Raw genomic sequence first — 19,203 nt, 5'->3', positions numbered from 1 at the left:
AGGTGTGGTGGTGCACACCTGTAATCCCAGCTATTCGGGAAGCTGAGGCAGGAGAATCGCTTGAACCCGGGAGGCGAAGGTTGCAGTGAGCCGAGATTGCGCCATTGCACTCCACCCTGGGCAACAAGAGCACAACTCAGTCTCCAAAAAAAAATAATAATAATAATCGGGCCGGGCGCAGTGGTTCATGCCTATAATCCCAGCACTTTGGGAGGCCGAGGCAGGCGGATCACCTGAGGTTAGGAGTTCGAGACCAGCCCGGCCAACATGGTGAAACCCCGTCTCTACTAAAAATAAAAAACTAGCTGGGCATGGTGGCACGTGCCTGTAGTCCCAGCTACTCGGGAAGCCGAGGCAGGAGAATCACTTGAACCCACTATATCTTCTTTTTTTTTTGAGACTGCGTTTCGCTTTTGGCCAGGCTGGAGTGCAGTGGTGCAACCTCCACCTCCCAGGTTCAAGTGATTCTCCTGCCTCAGCCTCCCAAGTAGCTGGGACTACAGGCGCCCGCCAACACACCGGCTAATTTTTGTATTTTTAGTAGAGACCAGGTTTCACCATGTTGGCCAGGCTGGTCTCGGACTCCTGACCTCAAGTGATCTGCCCGCCTTGGCCTCCCAAAGTGCTGGGATTACAGGTGTGAGCCACCATGCCCAGCCTGTATCTTAATATTATATTCTCACGTGTGGCCAGGCACAGTGGCTCATGCCTATGATCCCAGCACTTTGGGAAGCCGAGGCAAGCAGATCACCTGAGGTCAGGCGTTCGAGACCAGCCTGACCAACATGAAGAAACCCAATCTCTATTAAAAATACAAAACTACTCCATCTCAAAAAATAATAATAATATTCTCACAACCTTCCACATAGTAGGTACATAATAATCATTAATTATTAAAAAAGCTCTTTAAGGATTTTTTTATCTGTCTCTGTAACCCTAATACCTAGTAAAAAGTCTGGTCTATAGCACGAGTTTAATAATGTTCTAAACAAATGAAACAAAACTTATTCAGATAAGAACAAACCCTCAAGCCTTGCTTTGTAGTAAAGAAGTCAGAAGAGCCAGCATCCGTGGCCAATAGTCCCACAAATTGCATGGCAGGCCGCAGTCGTATAAACAGTTCTACAGCTTCATCAGTGATGCAATTGCCCCCAGAAATATCCAATGACACAACATTGGGCAGGATATCCTTCTGCTGTAGCAAATGAAAAGCTAGGTCTGATTTGAGTTGCCTGTGATCAGAAATATCAAGGTGAAGCAGACATTTAAGTTCTCTAATGACTGCAAGAATTTGTGATTTGGTCATGGCCAGGCATTTCAGATAGTGCATTGTGAGAGACTTCAATCGATCCTTACAGGTAAGCAGTGCAGAAATATCAGTGACTAGAGTATTAGAGATATCTAAGCTTTCCAGTCTTGGTAACTGAGAAACATTAGCCAGGTCTTCAGTATGAAAACAAACATTAAAAACACTTAAAATGCGAAGACCAGTGAGCTGACTAAAGAACAGTAATCTTGAATTTTGAGGGATGCTTGTCGAGTCTAACAGGAGACACTGGAGGTTTTGCTGGATCCACCTATTGCTGCAGAGTCCACTTATGATGTCTGGAACTGGGAGGTCAGCGTGCACTGCAGTAGCATTCAGTTCAATGAGCTTATGACGGCAGAAGGCTTTTATGAATGCAGCTGTAGAGATTTTAGCTTTTTGGATATTGACCAGCTTCAGTTTCATTTGGTTGCCTCGGAAAATGCTGGCTGTTCTGTCAGTCAGCTTGCCTATGAAAGAACCAGAACCAACTTGTAATGACAACTAGATCTCATGTCTTTCCAGGATAAAATGTGGCAAAGAATTAAGACAGATGTTAATAATAACAATAATGACAACATTTACTGCTCTGTGCTAGCATTGTTCTAAACTCCTTTAATAAGATTATTATCTCATGTATTCTTTGCATTAATACTATAAAGGAATTATTGTTACTACTACTATGTAGCTGAGGAAACTGAAACTTGAATAGGTTAAGTAATTTATCCAAGGTCACCATCAGAATCAGGAGTCAACCCCAGTTTGGCTGTAGAGCCCAAAATTTTATCTACAGTAACCTTGCTCACAGAAAGGAAGAACAAAATAAAATAGGTAGATAAGTACAGGATATACAATATACAAGTAGCACTACTAATATTATTTTTAACCAAATTAGTAGATAATATTTGACAAGTCACTTACCTCTCTGGGCCTCATTTTCCTCATCTGTAAAACGAATGGGTTGTCCTATTTTTCATTTACTACACATATTTTTTTTTTTTTTTTTTTTTTTGAGATGGAGTCTTGCTCTGTCACCCAGGCTGGAGTGCAGTGGGGGCTCACTGCAACCTCCGCTTCCCAAGTTCAAGCGATTCCCTTGCCTCAGCCTCCCAAGTAGCTGGGACTACAGGCACTGCACCTGGCCTACTACACATCTTCTATGGTGAGATTCCATGTTATGTAACAGGCACGTAAGGTAATCAGACACCTGTGACCACAAGGAATTCAGTATAGGGAGGCATACCAGGTAAATACCAACACCATAAGTCATTAAAGAAATGCAAATTAAAAGCACAACAGATACTATTTCACATCCACTAGGATGGCTATAATCAAAATGTCAGATGAGTCTTGGTGAGAACGTGGAGAAATTAGAACCCTTGGACACTGCTGATGGGAATGTAAAATAGTACAGCCACAAACAATAGTCTGGCAGTTCCTCAAAAAGATAATGAGTTACCATTTGATCCAGCAATTTCACTCAGAGAAATGAAAACTTATGTCCACATAGAAACTCTTACACATTCCTGCAGATTCATATGGAGCAGAGAAAGTTTAGAATAAATTTTTTAAGTTTAAAAATAAAATTTGTACACATATCTTTATGGTAGCATATTATTCATAATAGCCCAAAAGTGAGAACACCACAAATGTCCATCAACCGAAAAACAGATAAATACAATGTGGTATGTCCATACAGTAGAATATGCGACTATAAAAAGGAACGAGTACAGATATACATGTTGCACAATGTGAGCCTTAAACATGCTAAATGAAAAAAGTTCGGCACACAAGGCCACATATTGGATGATTTAATTTATATTAAATGTTCAGAATAGGCAAATCCATACATAGAGATGGAAAGTAGACTTGTGGTTGCTTAGGGCTGGAGGGATGCGGGAAAAGGGAAATAAAATCTAACGGGCACAAGGTTTCTTTCTGAGGTGATGGAAAGTTTGAGGTTCTAAAATTGATTATGGGCCAGGCACGGTGCCTCACGCCTGTAATCCCAGCACTTTGGGAGGCCGAGGCAGGCAGACCACTTGAGGTCAAGAGTTTGAGACCAGCCTGGCCAACATGGTGAAACCCCATCTCTACTAAAAATACAAAAATTATGACCGGACATGGTGACTCACATCTGTAATCCCAGGTTATAAATAAATAAATAATAAAATGCCCTTTTTTTCCTTTATTTTTTTAGTGGAGTTCTTTAAGCCCAGCTACAATGGGAGGTAAGACTCATAACCATAATGAAAAGAATGGTAAACAAGACTACAGCAAGAGCATTTTGAAAAAGCTAGAGAGCAGGCCGGGCACAGTGGCTCATGTCTGTAATCCCAGCACTTTGGGAAGCCAAGGCAGACGGATCATCTGAACTCAGGAGTTCAAGACCAGCCTGACCAAAGTGGTGAAACCCCATCTCTACTAAAAATACAAAAATCAGCCAGGTGTGGTGGGCGCCTGTAATCCCAGCTACTCAGGAGGCTGAGGCAGGAGAATCGCTTAAACCCAGGCGGAGGCTGCAGTGAGCAAAGATTGTGCCACTACACTCCAGCCTTGGCGACAAGGGTGAAAATCCGTCTCAAAAAAAAAAACAAAGCTAGAGAGCAGATGGATGAGTGATAACTTTACGTAAGTGAAGAGTGGAAAACCAAGTCAATAGCAGGGCTAGCCTAGAAGACAATTTCCATCATGGAATCCCAGAAAGAGTGAGTCTCAACTTCCAGACAAATGAAATGGAAATACTTTGTGAGAATCACAATAGAAATTGTGTGTAAAAGTGCTTTTCAAATAGTAAAGTACTGCAAGAGCTGACTTTAGAGAAGCCTTATCACTACCTTGCCAAGTCATCACCCTGAGAAATCGCTCGGCTACTTCCTGAGGGAAACTCCAATGCTCCGGAAGGCACAGTGTTCCATCAGGTCTTTCAGAACACAATTTCTCCAGGTTAGCAATCAGGACATTCAGGCAGATGTTGACCAAAGTGTAGGGAGATGCCTCTTCCTAGCAAACAAAACCCCAAACAAACTTTGTTAGAATACATCTGCAACAATTCAACATAAAACTGGTCATGCCATACCTATTCCACTTGATGAGAGTATCTGAAGATACATCCTTCATACTCTAGTAATGATTTATATGTAACGAAACCACCTCATTCCTACTGTTAACTGAATGGAAAATTTAATCTGTTGTCCTTTCTGTTGTACAGCTGTCCCTCAAAATCTGTAGGAGATTGGTTCCAGAACTCTCTGACCAGTATCCACAGATGCTCAAGTCTCCTTATATAAAATGGTGTAAGGTTTGCATATAACCTATGCAGACATTCTCATATACTACAAATCATTTCTAAATTACTTATAAACACTAATACAGTATAAATCCTTTATACTGTATTGTTTACATAATGACAAGAAAAAAGTCTGTACATGTTCAATACAGATGCAGGTATTTTTCCCCAAATATTTTCCATCCAAAGTTGGCTGAATTCACATATACTGAACCCGTAGTCAGAGAGAACATACTGTATCTTGAAAAACATTAAGTTCTTTTTTTCTTTTTTTTGAAACAGGGTCTCACTATCGCCTAGGCTGGAGTGCAGTGGCACAATCACAGCCGAATGCAACTTTGACTTCCCCAGTCAGGTGATCCTTCCACTCAGCCTCCTGAGTAACTGGGACTACAAGCCCATGCCACCATGCCCAGCTAATTTTTTGTAGGTTTATTATAGAGTCCCACTTTGTTGTCCAAGCCAGTCTCGAAACTCATGGTATCAAGAGATCCTCCCACTTCAGCTTCCCCAAGTGCTGGATTACAGGCATGAGCCACCACACCCGGCCCCAATATTAAGTTCTCTTAACCCTTTACTTATCACCTGTTCTGTGCTAGCCACTGAAAATACAGAGGTGGGTAAGACATGGTTCTAGTCCCTTTAAAGCTAAAGTTTAGTGAAGAATACAAACAAGAAATCTGACAATTTCAATGCAACATTTGGGACACTCCAAGCAGAGATTACATGGTCATTCACTCAAAAAATATGTATTCATTGATTATCATGTGTCTATTCTCAAAACTGTTCACAACCTCAAACAGTGATACAGTCAAGGTCCTATGAAAGTGTAAGAAACTGACAGTAAGGTGAGGCTATAAAGGCATGTACAGATAGTCCCTGACTCATGATTTTTGGAATTACAACGGTATAAAGTAGAAACCATACTTCAAATTTTGAGTTTTGATCTCTTCCCAGGCTAGTGACATAATATGATACTCTTTCAATGCTGGTCAGCAGAGTGAGCTGCAGCTCCCAGTCAGCCACACGATCACAAGGGTAAACAACCAATACTTGATATCTTCTTGAACACTATGCCTGCTAAACCATCAACAAGTGTCAATGGGCTCCAATGCTTAGAAGAGCAACTGGTGACCCTGTTGATGTAGCTTCTCCATAATCCAGCAATTAACTTTTAGTTCAATGCTTCAAACATTCTTCAGGCCCAGAGTGCTTTCAACTGTGTATGTTTACAGTGAGTACACATATGACCACTGTTTTTCACTGTCAGTATCAATAAATTCCACGAGATATTCAACACTATAATGAAATGGGCTTTGTGTTAGATGATTTTCCTCGACTGTAGGCTAATATAAGAGTTCTGAGCACATTTAAGGTAGGCCAGACTAACCTATATTTGATAGTTTAGGTGTCTTAAATGCATTTTGAACTTAGAATATTTTAAATTTACAAGGGTTTTATTGGTATATAACCCTATCATAAGGCAAAAAATGCCTTTCTCCTCTACAAAATAGAAACGCTGGCCAAGCGTGGTAGCTGTTAATTCGTGCATTTTGGGAGGCCAAGGCGGGTGGATCACTTGAGGTCATGAGTTTGAGACCAGCCTGGCCAACATAGCAAAACCCTGTTCTAAAAATAAAAAATTAGCCAGGCATGGTGGCACATGCCTATCTATAGTCCCACCTACTCAGGAGCCTTGAGGCAGGAGAATCCCTTGAACCCAGAAGGCAGAGAGTGCAGTGAGCCAAGATAGCATCACTGCACTCCAGCATGGGTGACAGACTCTACCTCAAAAAAAAAAAAAAAAAAATTTGCTCTAAAATTAACTGTCGGGCCAGGTGCAGAGGCTCACTCCTGTAATCACACTACTTTGGGAAGATGAGGTGGGTGGATCATGAGGTCAGGAGTTCGAGACCAGCCTGGCCAACACGGTGAAACCCCATCTTCACCAAAAATACAAAAACTGGCCAGGCACGGTGGCTCACGCCTGTAATCCCAGCACTTTGGGAGGCTGAGGTGGGTGGATCATGAGGTCAGCAGTTCAAGACCAGCCTGGCCAACATAGTGAAACCCCGTCTCTAATAAAAATACAAAAAATTAGCCGAGAGTGGTGGCAGGCGCCTGTAATCCTAGCTACTCGGGAGGCAGAGGCAGGAGAATCACTTGAACCCGGGAGGCGGAGGTTGCAGCGAGCCAAGATTGTGCCACTGTACACCAGCCCGGGTGACAGTGCAAGACTCCATCATTAAAAAAAAAAAAAAAAATTAGGAAGGCATGGTGGCGGGTGCCTGTAATCCCAGCTACTCAGGAGGCTGAGGCAGCAGAATCACTTGAACGAGGGAGGTGGAGGTTGCAGTGAGCTGAGATCACACCACTGCACTCCAACCTGGGCAACAGAGTGAGACTATATCTCAAAAAATAAAAAATAAGTAAGATAAAATAAATAAATTAATTAAAATAAATAATAAAATAAACTGTGTGCCGGGCATGGTGGCTCACGCCTATAATTCCAACACTTTGGGAGGCAGAGGCAGACTGATCATTTGAGGTTAGGAGCTCGAGACCAACCTGGCCAACATGTTGAAACCCTGTCCCTGCTATAAAAATACCAAAATTAGCCAGGTGTGGTGGCTCGTGCCTGTAATCCCAGCCACTCGGGAGGCTGAGGCAGGAGAAACGCTTGTACCCGGGAGCCAGAGGTTGTAGTGAGCCCAGATCGCGCCACTACATTCCAGCCTGGGTGACAGAGTGAGACCCTGTCTCAAAAATAATAAGAAGAATAAATTGACTGTGGTAATGGTTACATACATATGCACACATATATGAAAAGTCTCCTGGTTGGGCACAGTGGCTCACACCTGTAATCCCAGCATCAAAGGCCAAGGCAGGTAGATCATGTGAGCTGAGGAGTTCAAGACCAGATGTGGAAACATGGCAAAACCCCGTCTCCACAAAAAATACGAAAAAATTAGCCAGATGTGGTAGGGTGTGCCTGAGTCCCAGCTACCTGGGGAGCTGAGGCAGGAGAATTGCTTGAGCCCAGGAGGTCAAGGCTGCAGTGAGGCAATGAGCCGTGATTGCGCCCCTCCACTCCAGCCTGGATGACAAAATGAGACCCTGTCTCAAAAAAAAAAATTTTAAGTCTCTGAATTGCAAAATATATATAGACACTCAAAGTAGCATCCATAAAGTTCAGCTTACAATAAAATATCAGACATGAGAAGCAGGAAAAAAAAGTCAATAGAAACAAATCCCAAAATAACTGAAATAACCTAACTAACAGACAGGAATTTAAAATGGCTATTATAATTCGTGGGTTTAAAACAGAACATGAACACAATAAAAGAACAAATATGGAATCAACAGAAAAACAGAAGATATGAAAAAGACCAAAAGGAAACGTCTAGAGTTGAAAAAATACACCAGGCCAGACATAGTGGCTCATGCCTATAATCCCAGAGCTTTTGGAGGCCGAGGCGGGCAGATCACAAGGTCAGGAGATACAGACCATCCTAGCCAACATGGTGAAACCCCGTCTCTATTAAAAATACAAAAATTAGAAGTTGGGCGCGGTGGCTCACGCCTATAATCCCAACACTTTGGGAGGCTGAGGCAGGCGAATCACAAGGTCAGGAGTTCGAGACCAGCCTGGCCAACGTGGTGAAACCCCGTCTCTATTAAAAATACAAAAAATTGGCCGGGTGTAGTGGCAGGCACCTGTAATCTCAGCTATTTGGGAGGCTGAGGCAGGACAATAGCTTGAACCTGGGATGCAGAGGTTGCAGTGAGCTGAGATCACTCCACCGCACGCCAACCTGGGCAACAGAATGAGACTCCATCTCAAAAAAAAAAAAAAAAATAGCTGGGCGTACCGGTGCTTGCGCCTGTAAGTCCCAGCTACTTTGGAGGCTGAGGCAGGAGAATCGCTTGAACCCAGGAGGCGGAGGTTGCAGTGAGCTGAGATTGTGCCACTGCACTCCAGCCTGGCAACTATGTCTCAAAAGAAAAAAACAGCAGATAGGATTATCAGCAGATCAGAACTACAAAATAAGAGATCACTAAAGATGAAGTCAGGACAATAGAAATGACTCAAACTGAAACAGAAAAAGGTTGGGAAAAAAGTTGAAAACCATGGTGCCCCAATTAAGGCACTTCTTAACCAATCTTAAGCAGCCTGTTAGAAATGTATAATTGAGGCCAGGTGTGGTGGCTCACGCCTGTAATCCCAGCACTTTAGGAGGCCGAGGTGGGCGGATCACGAGGTCGGCAGATGGAGATCATCCTGGCTAACACGGTGAAACCCCGTCTCTACTAAAAACATTTTAAAAATTAGCTGGGCGTGGTGGCCGGTGCCTGTAGTCCCAGCTACTCGGGAGGCTGAGGCAGGAGAATGGCATGAATCCGGGATGTGGAGCTGGCAGTGAGCCGAGATCGCGCCACTGCACTCCAGCCTGGGCGACAGAGGGAGACTCCGTCTCAAAAAAAAAAAAGAAATGTATAATTGAAACTCTAGGCCAGCACAGTGGTTCACGCCTGTAATCCCAGCACGCTTAGAGGCCGAGGCGGGCAGATCACTTGAGGCCAGGAGTTCAAGACCAGTCTGGCCAACATGGTGAAACTCCATCTCTACTAAAAATACAAAAAAATTAGCTGGGCATGTTGGCGCACACCTGTAAATCCCAGCTACTCAGGAGGCTGAGACATGAGAGTCCCTTGAGCCCGGGAGGCAGGAGGCTGCAGTGAGCGGAGATCGCGCCACTGCACTCCAGCCTGAGCGACAGAGCAAGACTTGGTCTCAAAAAAAGTAAAGAGGCTGGGCGCGGTGGCTCACACCTGTAATCCCAGCACTTTGGGAGGCTGAGGTGGGCAGATCACAAGGTCAGGAGATTGAGACCATCCTGGCAAATATGGTGAAACCCCATCTCTACTAAAAATACAAAAATCAGCTGGGCGTGGTGGCACGCGCCTGTAATCCCAATCCCAGCTACTCAGGAGGCTGAAGCAGGAGAACCTCTTGAACCAGGGAATCGGAGGTTACAGTGAGGTGAGATCACGCCACTGCATTCCAGCTGGGCGACAGAGTGAGACTCGGTCTCAAAAAAAAAGAAAAAGAAGTAAAGAAACTCCAAAAGAATTGGGAAAGAATATTTTAACAAAAAATAATAAGGACAACGTCTTATACTTGGAACCTATAAAACTGCTCTGTGGTTTAACTATATTGAAATATAGTTAATTAATTCACTGGGTGCAAAGAATAGTAAAATAAATTTGATGTCTCCATTTTTTTTACTTTTAATTTTATTTTTATTTTTGAGACAGAGTCTAGCTCTGTTGCCCAGGCTGCAGTGCAGTAGCATGATCTCGGCTCACTGCAACCTCCACTTCCCAGGTTCAAGCCATTCTCGTGCCTCAGCCTCCCAAGTAGGTGGGACTACAGGCATTCACCATCACATCTGGCTAATTTTTGTATATTTAGTAGAGATTCTCCAGGCTGGTCTTGAACTCCTGGCCTCAGGTGATCCACCCACCTCAGCCTCCCAACGTGTGGGAGAAACCCCGTCTCTACTAAAAATACAAAGTGTGGGAGGCTGAGGTGGGAGGACTGCTTGAGACCAGAGCTCAAGACTGGCCTGGGCAACAAAGCAAGACCCAGTCTGTCTTTATTTTATGTCATTTTATTTTTTTAAGTTCAAATCAGATGCAAGATATAAACCCACTGATTTCGGAAGCAAAACAGACCCAAAGCAGAATAAACAAAAAAAGCACAATATGGGAAACTTCTAAAAACCAACAATGAGAAAAAGCTTATGACGGGGGAGTGGACACAGAAGAAAAAAAAGGTATGATCACTGAATTGTCACCAAAACAAAGCATGTCGGGCGAGTGCAGTGGCTCACACCTGTAATCCCAGCACTTTTGGAAGGCCAAGGTAGGCGGATCACCAGGTCAGGAGTTTAAGACCCACCTGGCCAACATGGTGAAACCCCGTCTCTACTAAAAATACAAAAATAGCTGGGCATGGTGGCTCACGCCTGTAATCCCAGCACTTTGGGAGACTGAGGCAGGCGGATCACGAGGTCAGGAGATTGAGACCATCCTGGCTAACATGGTGAAACCCCATCTCTACTAAAAATACAAAAAATTAGCCAGGCATGATGGCAGGCGCCTATAGTCCCAGCTACTTAGGAGGCTGGGGCAGGAGAATGGCGTGAACAAGGGAGGCGGAGCTTGCAGTGAGCTGAGATCGCGCCACTGCACTCCAGCCTAGGCGACAGAGCGAGACTCCATCTCAAAAAAATAAATAAATAAATAAATAAATAAATAAATAAATAAATAAATAAATTAGCAAGGCGTGGTGGCACACACCTGTAGTCCCAGCTACTCGGAAGGCTGAGGCAGGAGAATTACCTGAACCCAGGAGGCAGAGGTTGCAGCGAACCGAGATCGCGCCACTGCACTCCAGCCTGGAAACAGAGCGAGACTCCGTCCCAAGGAAAAAAAAAAAAAAACAAAGTACAGTACAGGGGAAACACTGTCAGATCCATGAAAACATCTTTCAAATATGAAAATGAAATATATTCTCAGATAAACAAAAGCAGAGACAACTTGTCGCCAGCTCATATGCTATGAGAAATATTAAAAGTTCTTTAAGCTAAAAAAAAAAAAAAATGACAGGCTGGGCACGGTGGCTCATGTCATGCCTGTAATCCTAGCACTTTGGGAGGCCAAGGCGGGCCGATCACCTGAGGTCGGCAGTTCGAGACCAGCCTGACCAACATGGAGAAACCCTGTCTGTACTAAAAATACAAAATTAGGCCAGGTACCGTGGTTCACACCTGTAATCCCAGCACTTTGGGAGGCCAAGGTGGGTGGATCACAAGGTCAGGAATTCAAAACCAGCCTGATCAACATGGTGAAACCCTGTCTCTACTAAAAATACAAAAATTAGCAGAGTGTGGTGGTGCACACCTATAATCCCAGCTATTCAGGAGGCTGAGGCAGGAGAATCGCTTCAACCTGGGAGGCGGAGGCTGCAGTGAGCCGAGATCGAGATCACGCCACCGCACTCCAGCCTGGGCAACAACAGCGAAACACCTGAGGTCGGGAGTTTGAGACCATCCTGGCTAACACAGTGAAACCCCGTCTCTACTAAAAATACAAAAATTAGCCAGGCGTGGCGGCGTGTACCCGTAGTCCCAGCTGCTGGGGAGACTGAGGCAGGAGAATGGCGTGAACCCGGGAGGCGGAGCTTGCAGTGAGCTGACATTGCGCCACTGCACTCCAGCCTGGGCGACAAAAAAAAAAAAAAAAGTAAATGTGAACAGACAAAAATGTAATTTTAAAGCCTAGAGATGTGGCTCCCAAGCTTTTTGGTCCTAGTACCACTCTACACTCTTAAAAATTGGGTTATATCTATCAACATATACCACGTTAAAAATTAAATCTTAGCAATCTTTAAAATACACATTAATTCACATAGAAAAAATTAAAAACTCAGAGCATGTTAACATAGATAACATTTTTTAAAATAGCCATAATTGGCCGGGCGCGATGGCTTGCCTGTAATCCTAGTACTTTGGGAGGCCAGGGTGGATGGATCATGAGTTCAACCAGCCTGGCCAACATAGTGAAACCCCATCTCTACTGAAAATACAAAAATTAGCCGGGAATGGTGGCGTGCACCTATAGTCCCAGCTACTCAAGAGGCTGAAGCAGGAGAATCGCTTGAACCTGGGAGGCGGAGGTTGTGGTGAGCCAAGATCATGCCACTGCACTCCAGCCTGGGCAACAGAGTGAGACTCTGTTTCAAAATATATATATATATATATATATATATATATATATATATATATATATATATATATATAAAAATTTAAAAAGCCATGATTTCCAAAAGAACTAAAAACTAGCTTAGTTGAGAACAGCAGCACTGTTTTACATTTTTGCAAATTTCATTAACAGGCAGGCTAATGGAAGAGATGGGATTCTGGAGGTCCTGGGGTCCACACTTTGAAAACAGCTACCTTTGAGTGACTATTAAAGAGTAAGAAGGAGAAAGGGAGAGAAAGAGAGAACTACTAAGTCAAAAGAGAACATGGTATTTTCTAAATAATTCAAAAGAAAAGGAAAAAACAAGACAAATGGAACATATATAGCAACACAGTAGACTTAACCCCAACAATACTGATAATTATATTTATTCTAATTAAAAAGCACAGAAAGGCCGGGCACAGTGGCTCACATCTGGAATCCCAGAACTTTGGGAGGCTGAGGCCAGAAGTCTGAGACTAGCCTGGGCAACAAAGCAAGACTCAGCCTCTACAAAAAATAAAAAACAGCCAGGCATGGTGGTGCACACCTATAGTCTAGCTACTAGGGAGGCTGAGGAGGGAGGATGAGCTATGATCACAGACTGCACTCAAACCTGGGCAACAGAGTGAGACTCTCTCCTCCCTGCAAAAATCAATTTAAAAAATACATTTTTAATTAAAAAAATTAAAATGTTTACTTTCCTGTCCTCTGTAAAAAAAAAAAAAAAAAAATTCAAAAATAAAGGCTGGGTGCAGTGGTTCACGCCTGTAATCCCAGCACTTTGGGTGGTCAAGATGGGCAGGTCGCTTGAGGCCAGGAGTTCAGGACCAGCCTGGGCAACATGGTGAAACCCCGCCTCTACAAAAATACCTGTCTCTACAAAAATACAAAAATTAGCCAGGAAATGGTGGCACACACTTGTAGTCCCAGCTACTCAGGAGGCTGAGGCGAGAGAATCGCTTGAACCCGGGAGGCGGAGGTTGCAGTGAGTCAAGATTGTACCACTGTACTCCAGCCTGAGTGACAGAGCAAGGCTCCGTCTCAAAAAAAAAAAAAAAAGCACAGACCATTAGGCTACATACAAATGCAAGATTGCTGTTTACAAGAGACACAATTTAAAACATACAGTTGTTAAACACTAGACACAAGGAAACTGGAGTGACTACACTGTCAGAAAAAATGAGGCTTCTGGACAAGAATATTGCTAGAGATCAAGATGGACATTTCTTAATGATAAAAGGGCCAATTCATCAAGCAGAATTAACATTCCTAAATGCATACGAACTTACTAATAGCTTCAAAATTCATGAAGCAAAAAATTGAAAAGATATGGGAGGCCAAGGCAAGAGGATTGCTTGAGCCGGAGTTCAAAGACCAGCCTGGACAATAGGGAAACCACCGTCTTAATTAAAAATAAAAAATTAAAAGGATAAAAAGAAAATAATATGACTGTGTAGAAAATCTTTAAAAATTTACAAAAAAATAAAGAAAACTAAGTGACTTTGGCCAGGCTGTAGGATACAAGATCAATATACAAAAATCAATTTTATGTATTCTTATATATACACAAGGTAATATAAAGTTTTAAAAAATATTTGCTGGCCGGGCACGGTGGCTCATGCCTGTAATCCCAGCACTTTGGGAGACTCCGTCTCAAAAAAAAAAAGTATTTACAATAGTATCAAGAACAGGAACAAATTTAACAAAATGTGAAAAGACTTTTATATTAAAAACTACAAAACATTGCTAAGAGAAGATTAAAATGACATAAATGGAAATAATTGTATGTATGTTTCATAGGGAAAAAAGTATTCATGCAATATTTGTGTAATTAAAATAATTAATTAAAAATAAATAAAATCCTTAACAAAGAAAATGAGATATACCCAGAACTAGACAGAGAAAATGGGTGTGAGTACTTTTGTAAAGAAATCTTGTTTCGATTCCAAGCAGGAAAAAATGTGCTTGAGACGATGCTAGCACACACGTAAAAAATCCAAGTTTTCCATTAATTACAAATCCACAAATTATATAACTTTTCTAAATGAGTTCAAAAGATTACAGGCTAGATCACTGCAGGGCACAAAGTCTTCCAACAAGGCGTTAATATGTAAAGCACAACCTTAATCAGAACATTTCCTTCTCTCCATAAATTTTGGGTCGAGCCTTCACCACTCAATCCCTCGAGTTCCCCAAGGGTGGCCCTTGGCGGGTTTTTTCCAAAGTGGGGCCAGAGGTCTGAACACCTGAGGTGAAATTCAAGTTCACGAGCAAGTCAACTAAATTTCAGAGCTCCCAACTTCCCTACATCGGTAAAATGGAGCCTAGCAAAGCCTACAAAAGACTAGGGGTTACCAGACTGCTTTAGAAAGGCGACACTTGGCCGGGCACGGTGGCTGACGCCTGTAATCCCAGCACTCTGGGAGGCCGAGGCGGGTAGATCACGAGGTCTGGAGTTCGAAACCATCCTGGCCAACATGGTGAAACCCCGTCTCTACTAAAAATACAAAAAATGAGTCGGGCATGGTGGCACGCGCCTGTAGTCCCACCTACTCGGGAGGCTGAGGCAGAAGAATCGCTTGAACCCCGGAGGCGGAGGTTGCAGTGGGCCCAGATCGCGCCACTGCACTCCAGCCTGGTGACAGAGCGAGACTCCGTCTCAAAAAAAAAAAAAAAAAGAAAGAAAGAAAAGAAAGGCGACACTTAACACACAGCAGGCGCTAAACACACATTCTTTGGGTTTGCATTTTGTCCAGAGCTAAGAGTAACAGGCATTCGGCAAAGGCTGGGGACGGGACGGGGACGGGGGCGGACGCGCGGAACTGAAAGAATCTCAGACTTCGGGTTCCAGTTCCCCCAGCCGGACTAAGCTACTCGCCCGGCCCCGGGCCCAAAGGCCTCAGGTGGTAACGGCCAAAGGGTCACCGCCTCCGCGGGGCGCTGCGTCCACAACACGGGTGGGGAAACGGTCAAGGTTTGCGGCGTTTGGGTTCATGACTGCAAAAACACCGTCCACTACGGGCCAAGCCGAGTGCCATGCCCTGCACCTACGTCTAAGCTCACAGCAGCCCGCACTGGGGCGAGGAATCCTGAGGAGGCTCGCCCCGGTCTCTGGGACTGGGCTCTCGCCGCGCTGCCTCAGGGCGCAAGTTCCACGCGCTTCGCCGGGCGCAGAAAAGCACCCCCCGCTCCGCGGCGCCCAGGCCGCCTCCCCCGACAACGCACCTCCGCAGCGACGCCTGCGCCTGGAAGGGGCTCGGCATCTAGACCGCAGCCCCGCGCGGGCCACACTCCCCAGCAAGTGCCTCGGCAGCGTCCCAGGAGACTCGCCGCGCTCGCCGGAGCTGGACGTGGCGCCGAGGTCCGCGTCGCCGCCCGCACCCCGGTGCTCACCTGTACCACGCAGCAGCCCAGGGCATCCTTCTGAGCGTCAGGAGGGACGATGTTCCGGGGCGTGTGGCCCGGGTGCAAGAAATGAACCATGGCAACCCCGGCGGCGGGGCGTCAAAAAGAGAGCCGGCGTCGAGCCGGAGCCCGGATCCCGCGAGAACCAAGCGGGCGGCTGCCAGGACGCGCCCACCACGCCTGCGAGGCACACGGAGCTAGCGCCGCGCCCTGCCGGCGAGCTTTTGAAATGCCCGGCGAGGCGACGCGCACGCGGGGGCCGGCCCGCCGCAGACCCCACCCCCCGGGCGGCCTCCTAGCCCCATCCGCCCTCCGACACGCCGCTGCCGGGGCCAACCGTTCTCCTCCCGCCTCCCCAGCCTCCCCAGCCTCCCCAGACCAACCTGCCACGACCCAGCCGCTCACCCACTCCTTCCCAGCCCTGCACCTCAGGGCTTGAGAGGATATTCCCCGAGGACCGGCTGTGTAGGTTTGGGGAATACTGTATATATATATACATGTACACACACACACACACACACACACACACACACACACACACATATTCATTATTTCTATATATGTATATATTTTTTAAAGCTTTCATACATTAAAATATATATTTCAAAGACTTTGCCCCTGAAAATCTGGCAACAGCACCTCTCTAACGGTCCTCTCTGTTTCAACTCCTTAGAGTATCTGGATAAATCAAATATAAAACGAATACAAAATATTGGCAAGTATCTACCAAAAAATCTATTTAGCTTTCTTGTTACTTAAAAAGTACTCGAGAAGACCCTTATAACCTGCTCCAAGAAAGAAACCCCGAGAGACCCTTCTAACTTTCTCCAGGAAAGAAACTCCACAAGTTAGTACACATTAGCTAATTTAAGAGAAAGCAATACCTTGGAAAAGGAAAGTTCTCAAGAGCATGAGCCTTGGAGTTTGAATCCTGAATTAGAATGCCCGCTCAGCCATCTAGTGTTTGAGAACCTGGAGCAAGATTCTTGATGTCTCTGAAGCTCAACTTCCTCATCAGTAAAATAGAATGAGAATGCTTTATCTCACAGACTTAATGTAAGGATTAAATAATGTATGTAAAACACATCACAATGCTTTTTACATAGTAAGTCCTTGATAAGTGGATTGGATTCAGATGTTAAAATTATTTTTAAGTACTTTGCCTAATGCTTTTCTTTCATTTATTTATTCTTTTATTTAATCCACTTACTACAAGAAGAAAAAAAATCCTGTGCTGTAGGTATCATCCCCATTTTTCTCACAGGGAAACTGAAGAACTGACAGGTTGAATAGACAACACGTTTTTTGGCCAGCTGATGAGTGGCCAACCTGGGAGTCAAAATTGAGTTTTCTTACTGCAAGTCCAATCAATATGCTTTTTTTTTTTTTTTTTTTTTAGACGGAGTCTCGCTCTGTTGCCCAGGCTGGAGTGCAGTGACGCGATCTCAGCTCACAGCAACCTCCGCCTCCTGGGTTCAAGTGATTCTCCTGCCTCAGCCTCCCAAGCAGCTGGGACTCCAGGCGCGCGCCACCACACCCGGCTAATTTTTGTATTTTTAGTAGAGACAGCGTTTCACCATGTTGGCCAGGATGGTCTAGATCTCCTGACCTGGTGATCCGCACGCCTCGGCGTCTCAAAATGTTGGGATTACAGGCGTGAGCCACCGTGCCCCCGCCAATATGCTTTTGTTAACGGTGGAGGGTGTTCATGTTCTTGGTGTCTTGAACAAAGAATTGGACAAAACGCACAAACAAGGAAGGAATGAAGGGATTTATTGAAAATGAAAGTACACTCCACAATGCCACAATGTGGGAGTGGGCCCGAGCACTGGGGCTCAAAGACCCCGTTACAGAATTTTTGGGAGTTTAAATACCCTCTACTTGGGGTATGCCCTATGTAAATGACGAGGATGAAGGAAAGTTACAGTCATTTCCTCGGCTTTTGCCCAATGGAGAGGATATTTCCTATTACAGCTGAAGTGTGAATTTCAGCAATTTTAACTTTAATATAGAACCTGGTAAGTTATGTTCTCATAAGGTTTGACTATTTCCAGCATATCTAGAGGTGTGGCCAACTGCATATGTCCCAGGCCTTACCGAGCTAGAAAACAGGCAAGTTAAACAATTTTCAAAAGCCAAGGAAGCAGTTTATGACCTTAAAGCATTTAGCAAACCTAATATTTGAACATAATTTTGACCACATGTTTACATTTTGAAGACATTTGTATTTTATCAATAATCTTTAAACCCATCTTTATTTCCCAAAGATTACCCAAGTCACATGAACTAAATAAAAGGCATTATGTTTTTCACTTTTCTGACAAAATATTTTATTTAAGCTCTTATTATTAAACCAATTAATTTAAAACGTAACACATGAGGCCAGGCACGGTGGCTCATGCCTGTAATCCCAGCACTATGGGAGGCCGAGATGGGTGGATCGCCTGAAGTCAGGAGTTCAAGACCAGCCTGGCCAACATAGTGAAACCCAATCTCTACTAAAAATACACAAAAAAATTACCTGGGCATGGTGGCGCATCCCTGTAATCCCAGCTACTTGGGAGGCTGAGCCAGATTTGCTTGAACCCAGGAGGCAGAGGTTGCAGTAAATTTAGATTGCGCCATTGCACTCCAGCCCCGGTGACAAAGCGAGACTTTGTTGCAAAAAGTAAAAATAAGTAAATAAAAGTGGCTGGGTGCAGTGGCTCACACCGTAATCCCAACATTTTGGGAGGCCAAGGCAAGTGAATCACCTGAAGTCGGGGTTTGAGACCAGCCTGACCAACATGGAGAAACCCCGTTTCTACTAAAAACACAAAAATTAGCTGGGCATGGTGGTGTGCGCCTGTAGTCCCAGCTGCTCGGGAGGCTGAGGCAGGAGAATTCCTTGAACGCAGGAGGCGGAAGTTGCAGTGAGCCGAGATGACGCCACTGCACTCCAGCCTGGCGACAGAGTGAGACTCTCTTTCTTAAAAAATAAATAAAAATAAAAAAATAGGGCCGGGCGCGGTGGCTCACGCCTGTAATCCCAGCACTTTGGGAGGCCGAGGCGGGCGGATCACGAGGTCAGGAGATCGAGACCATCCCGGCTAAAACGGTGAAACCCCGTCTCTACTAAAAATACAAAAAATTAGCCGGGCGTAGTGGCGGGCGCCTGTAGTCCCAGCTACTTGGGAGGCTGAGGCAGGAGAATGGCGTGAACCCGGGAGGCGGAGCTTGCAGTGAGCCGAGATCCCGCCACTGCACTCCAGCCTGGGCGACAGAGTGAGACTCCGTCTCAAAAAAAAAAAAAAAAAAAAAAATAGGCTTTGCCGTTTCTGTCATGGGCACAAAGCGGTGGCCTGATTGTCAGTCTTCTCCTGGCATTTTTAAGGCCAGGAGCCAAGTGCTG

General features: G+C 44.8%; 1 protein-coding gene across 9 annotated transcripts in view, besides 2 other annotated features; it reads right to left on the bottom strand.

The window, feature by feature from the left end:
* ZYG11A (zyg-11 family member A, cell cycle regulator) overlaps positions 1 to 16,014 on the bottom strand; it is a 52,239-nt gene extending 36,225 nt beyond the window's left edge. For 8 of the 9 annotated variants that reach the window (NM_001004339.3, XM_011541482.4, XM_011541480.4 and 5 more), the window contains exons 1-3: positions 15,801 to 16,014; positions 4,144 to 4,309; positions 1,025 to 1,776 (exon numbers count right to left, since the gene is read on the bottom strand). In NM_001004339.3, coding sequence (NP_001004339.2) covers positions 1,025 to 1,776; positions 4,144 to 4,309; positions 15,801 to 15,890 — 1,008 coding nt within the window. In that variant the 5' untranslated portion in view covers positions 15,891 to 16,014. The remainder of the gene's footprint in view (positions 1 to 1,024; positions 1,777 to 4,143; positions 4,310 to 15,800) is intronic. The other variant, NM_001307931.2, reaches the window with a different exon arrangement.
* Positions 14,840 to 15,433: an enhancer, noted in NCBI's record as "H3K27ac-H3K4me1 hESC enhancer chr1:53309013-53309606 (GRCh37/hg19 assembly coordinates)". NCBI's record gives its function as "activates a minimal SCP1, AML or CMV promoter by ChIP-STARR-seq in primed H9 embryonic stem cells {active_cell/tissue: H9 hESC(primed)}" and the evidence as "EXISTENCE:reporter gene assay evidence [ECO:0000049][PMID:30033119]".
* Positions 15,935 to 16,264: a silencer, noted in NCBI's record as "silent region_899". NCBI's record gives its function as "represses an Ori minimal core promoter by ATAC-STARR-seq in GM12878 lymphoblastoid cells {active_cell/tissue: GM12878}" and the evidence as "EXISTENCE:reporter gene assay evidence [ECO:0000049][PMID:35858748]".

This window comes from Homo sapiens, chromosome 1 (assembly GCF_000001405.40).
Source record: "Homo sapiens chromosome 1, GRCh38.p14 Primary Assembly".
NCBI classification, from domain to species: domain Eukaryota; kingdom Metazoa; phylum Chordata; class Mammalia; order Primates; family Hominidae; genus Homo; species Homo sapiens.
This window is presented reverse-complemented; position numbering and strand designations above follow the sequence as displayed.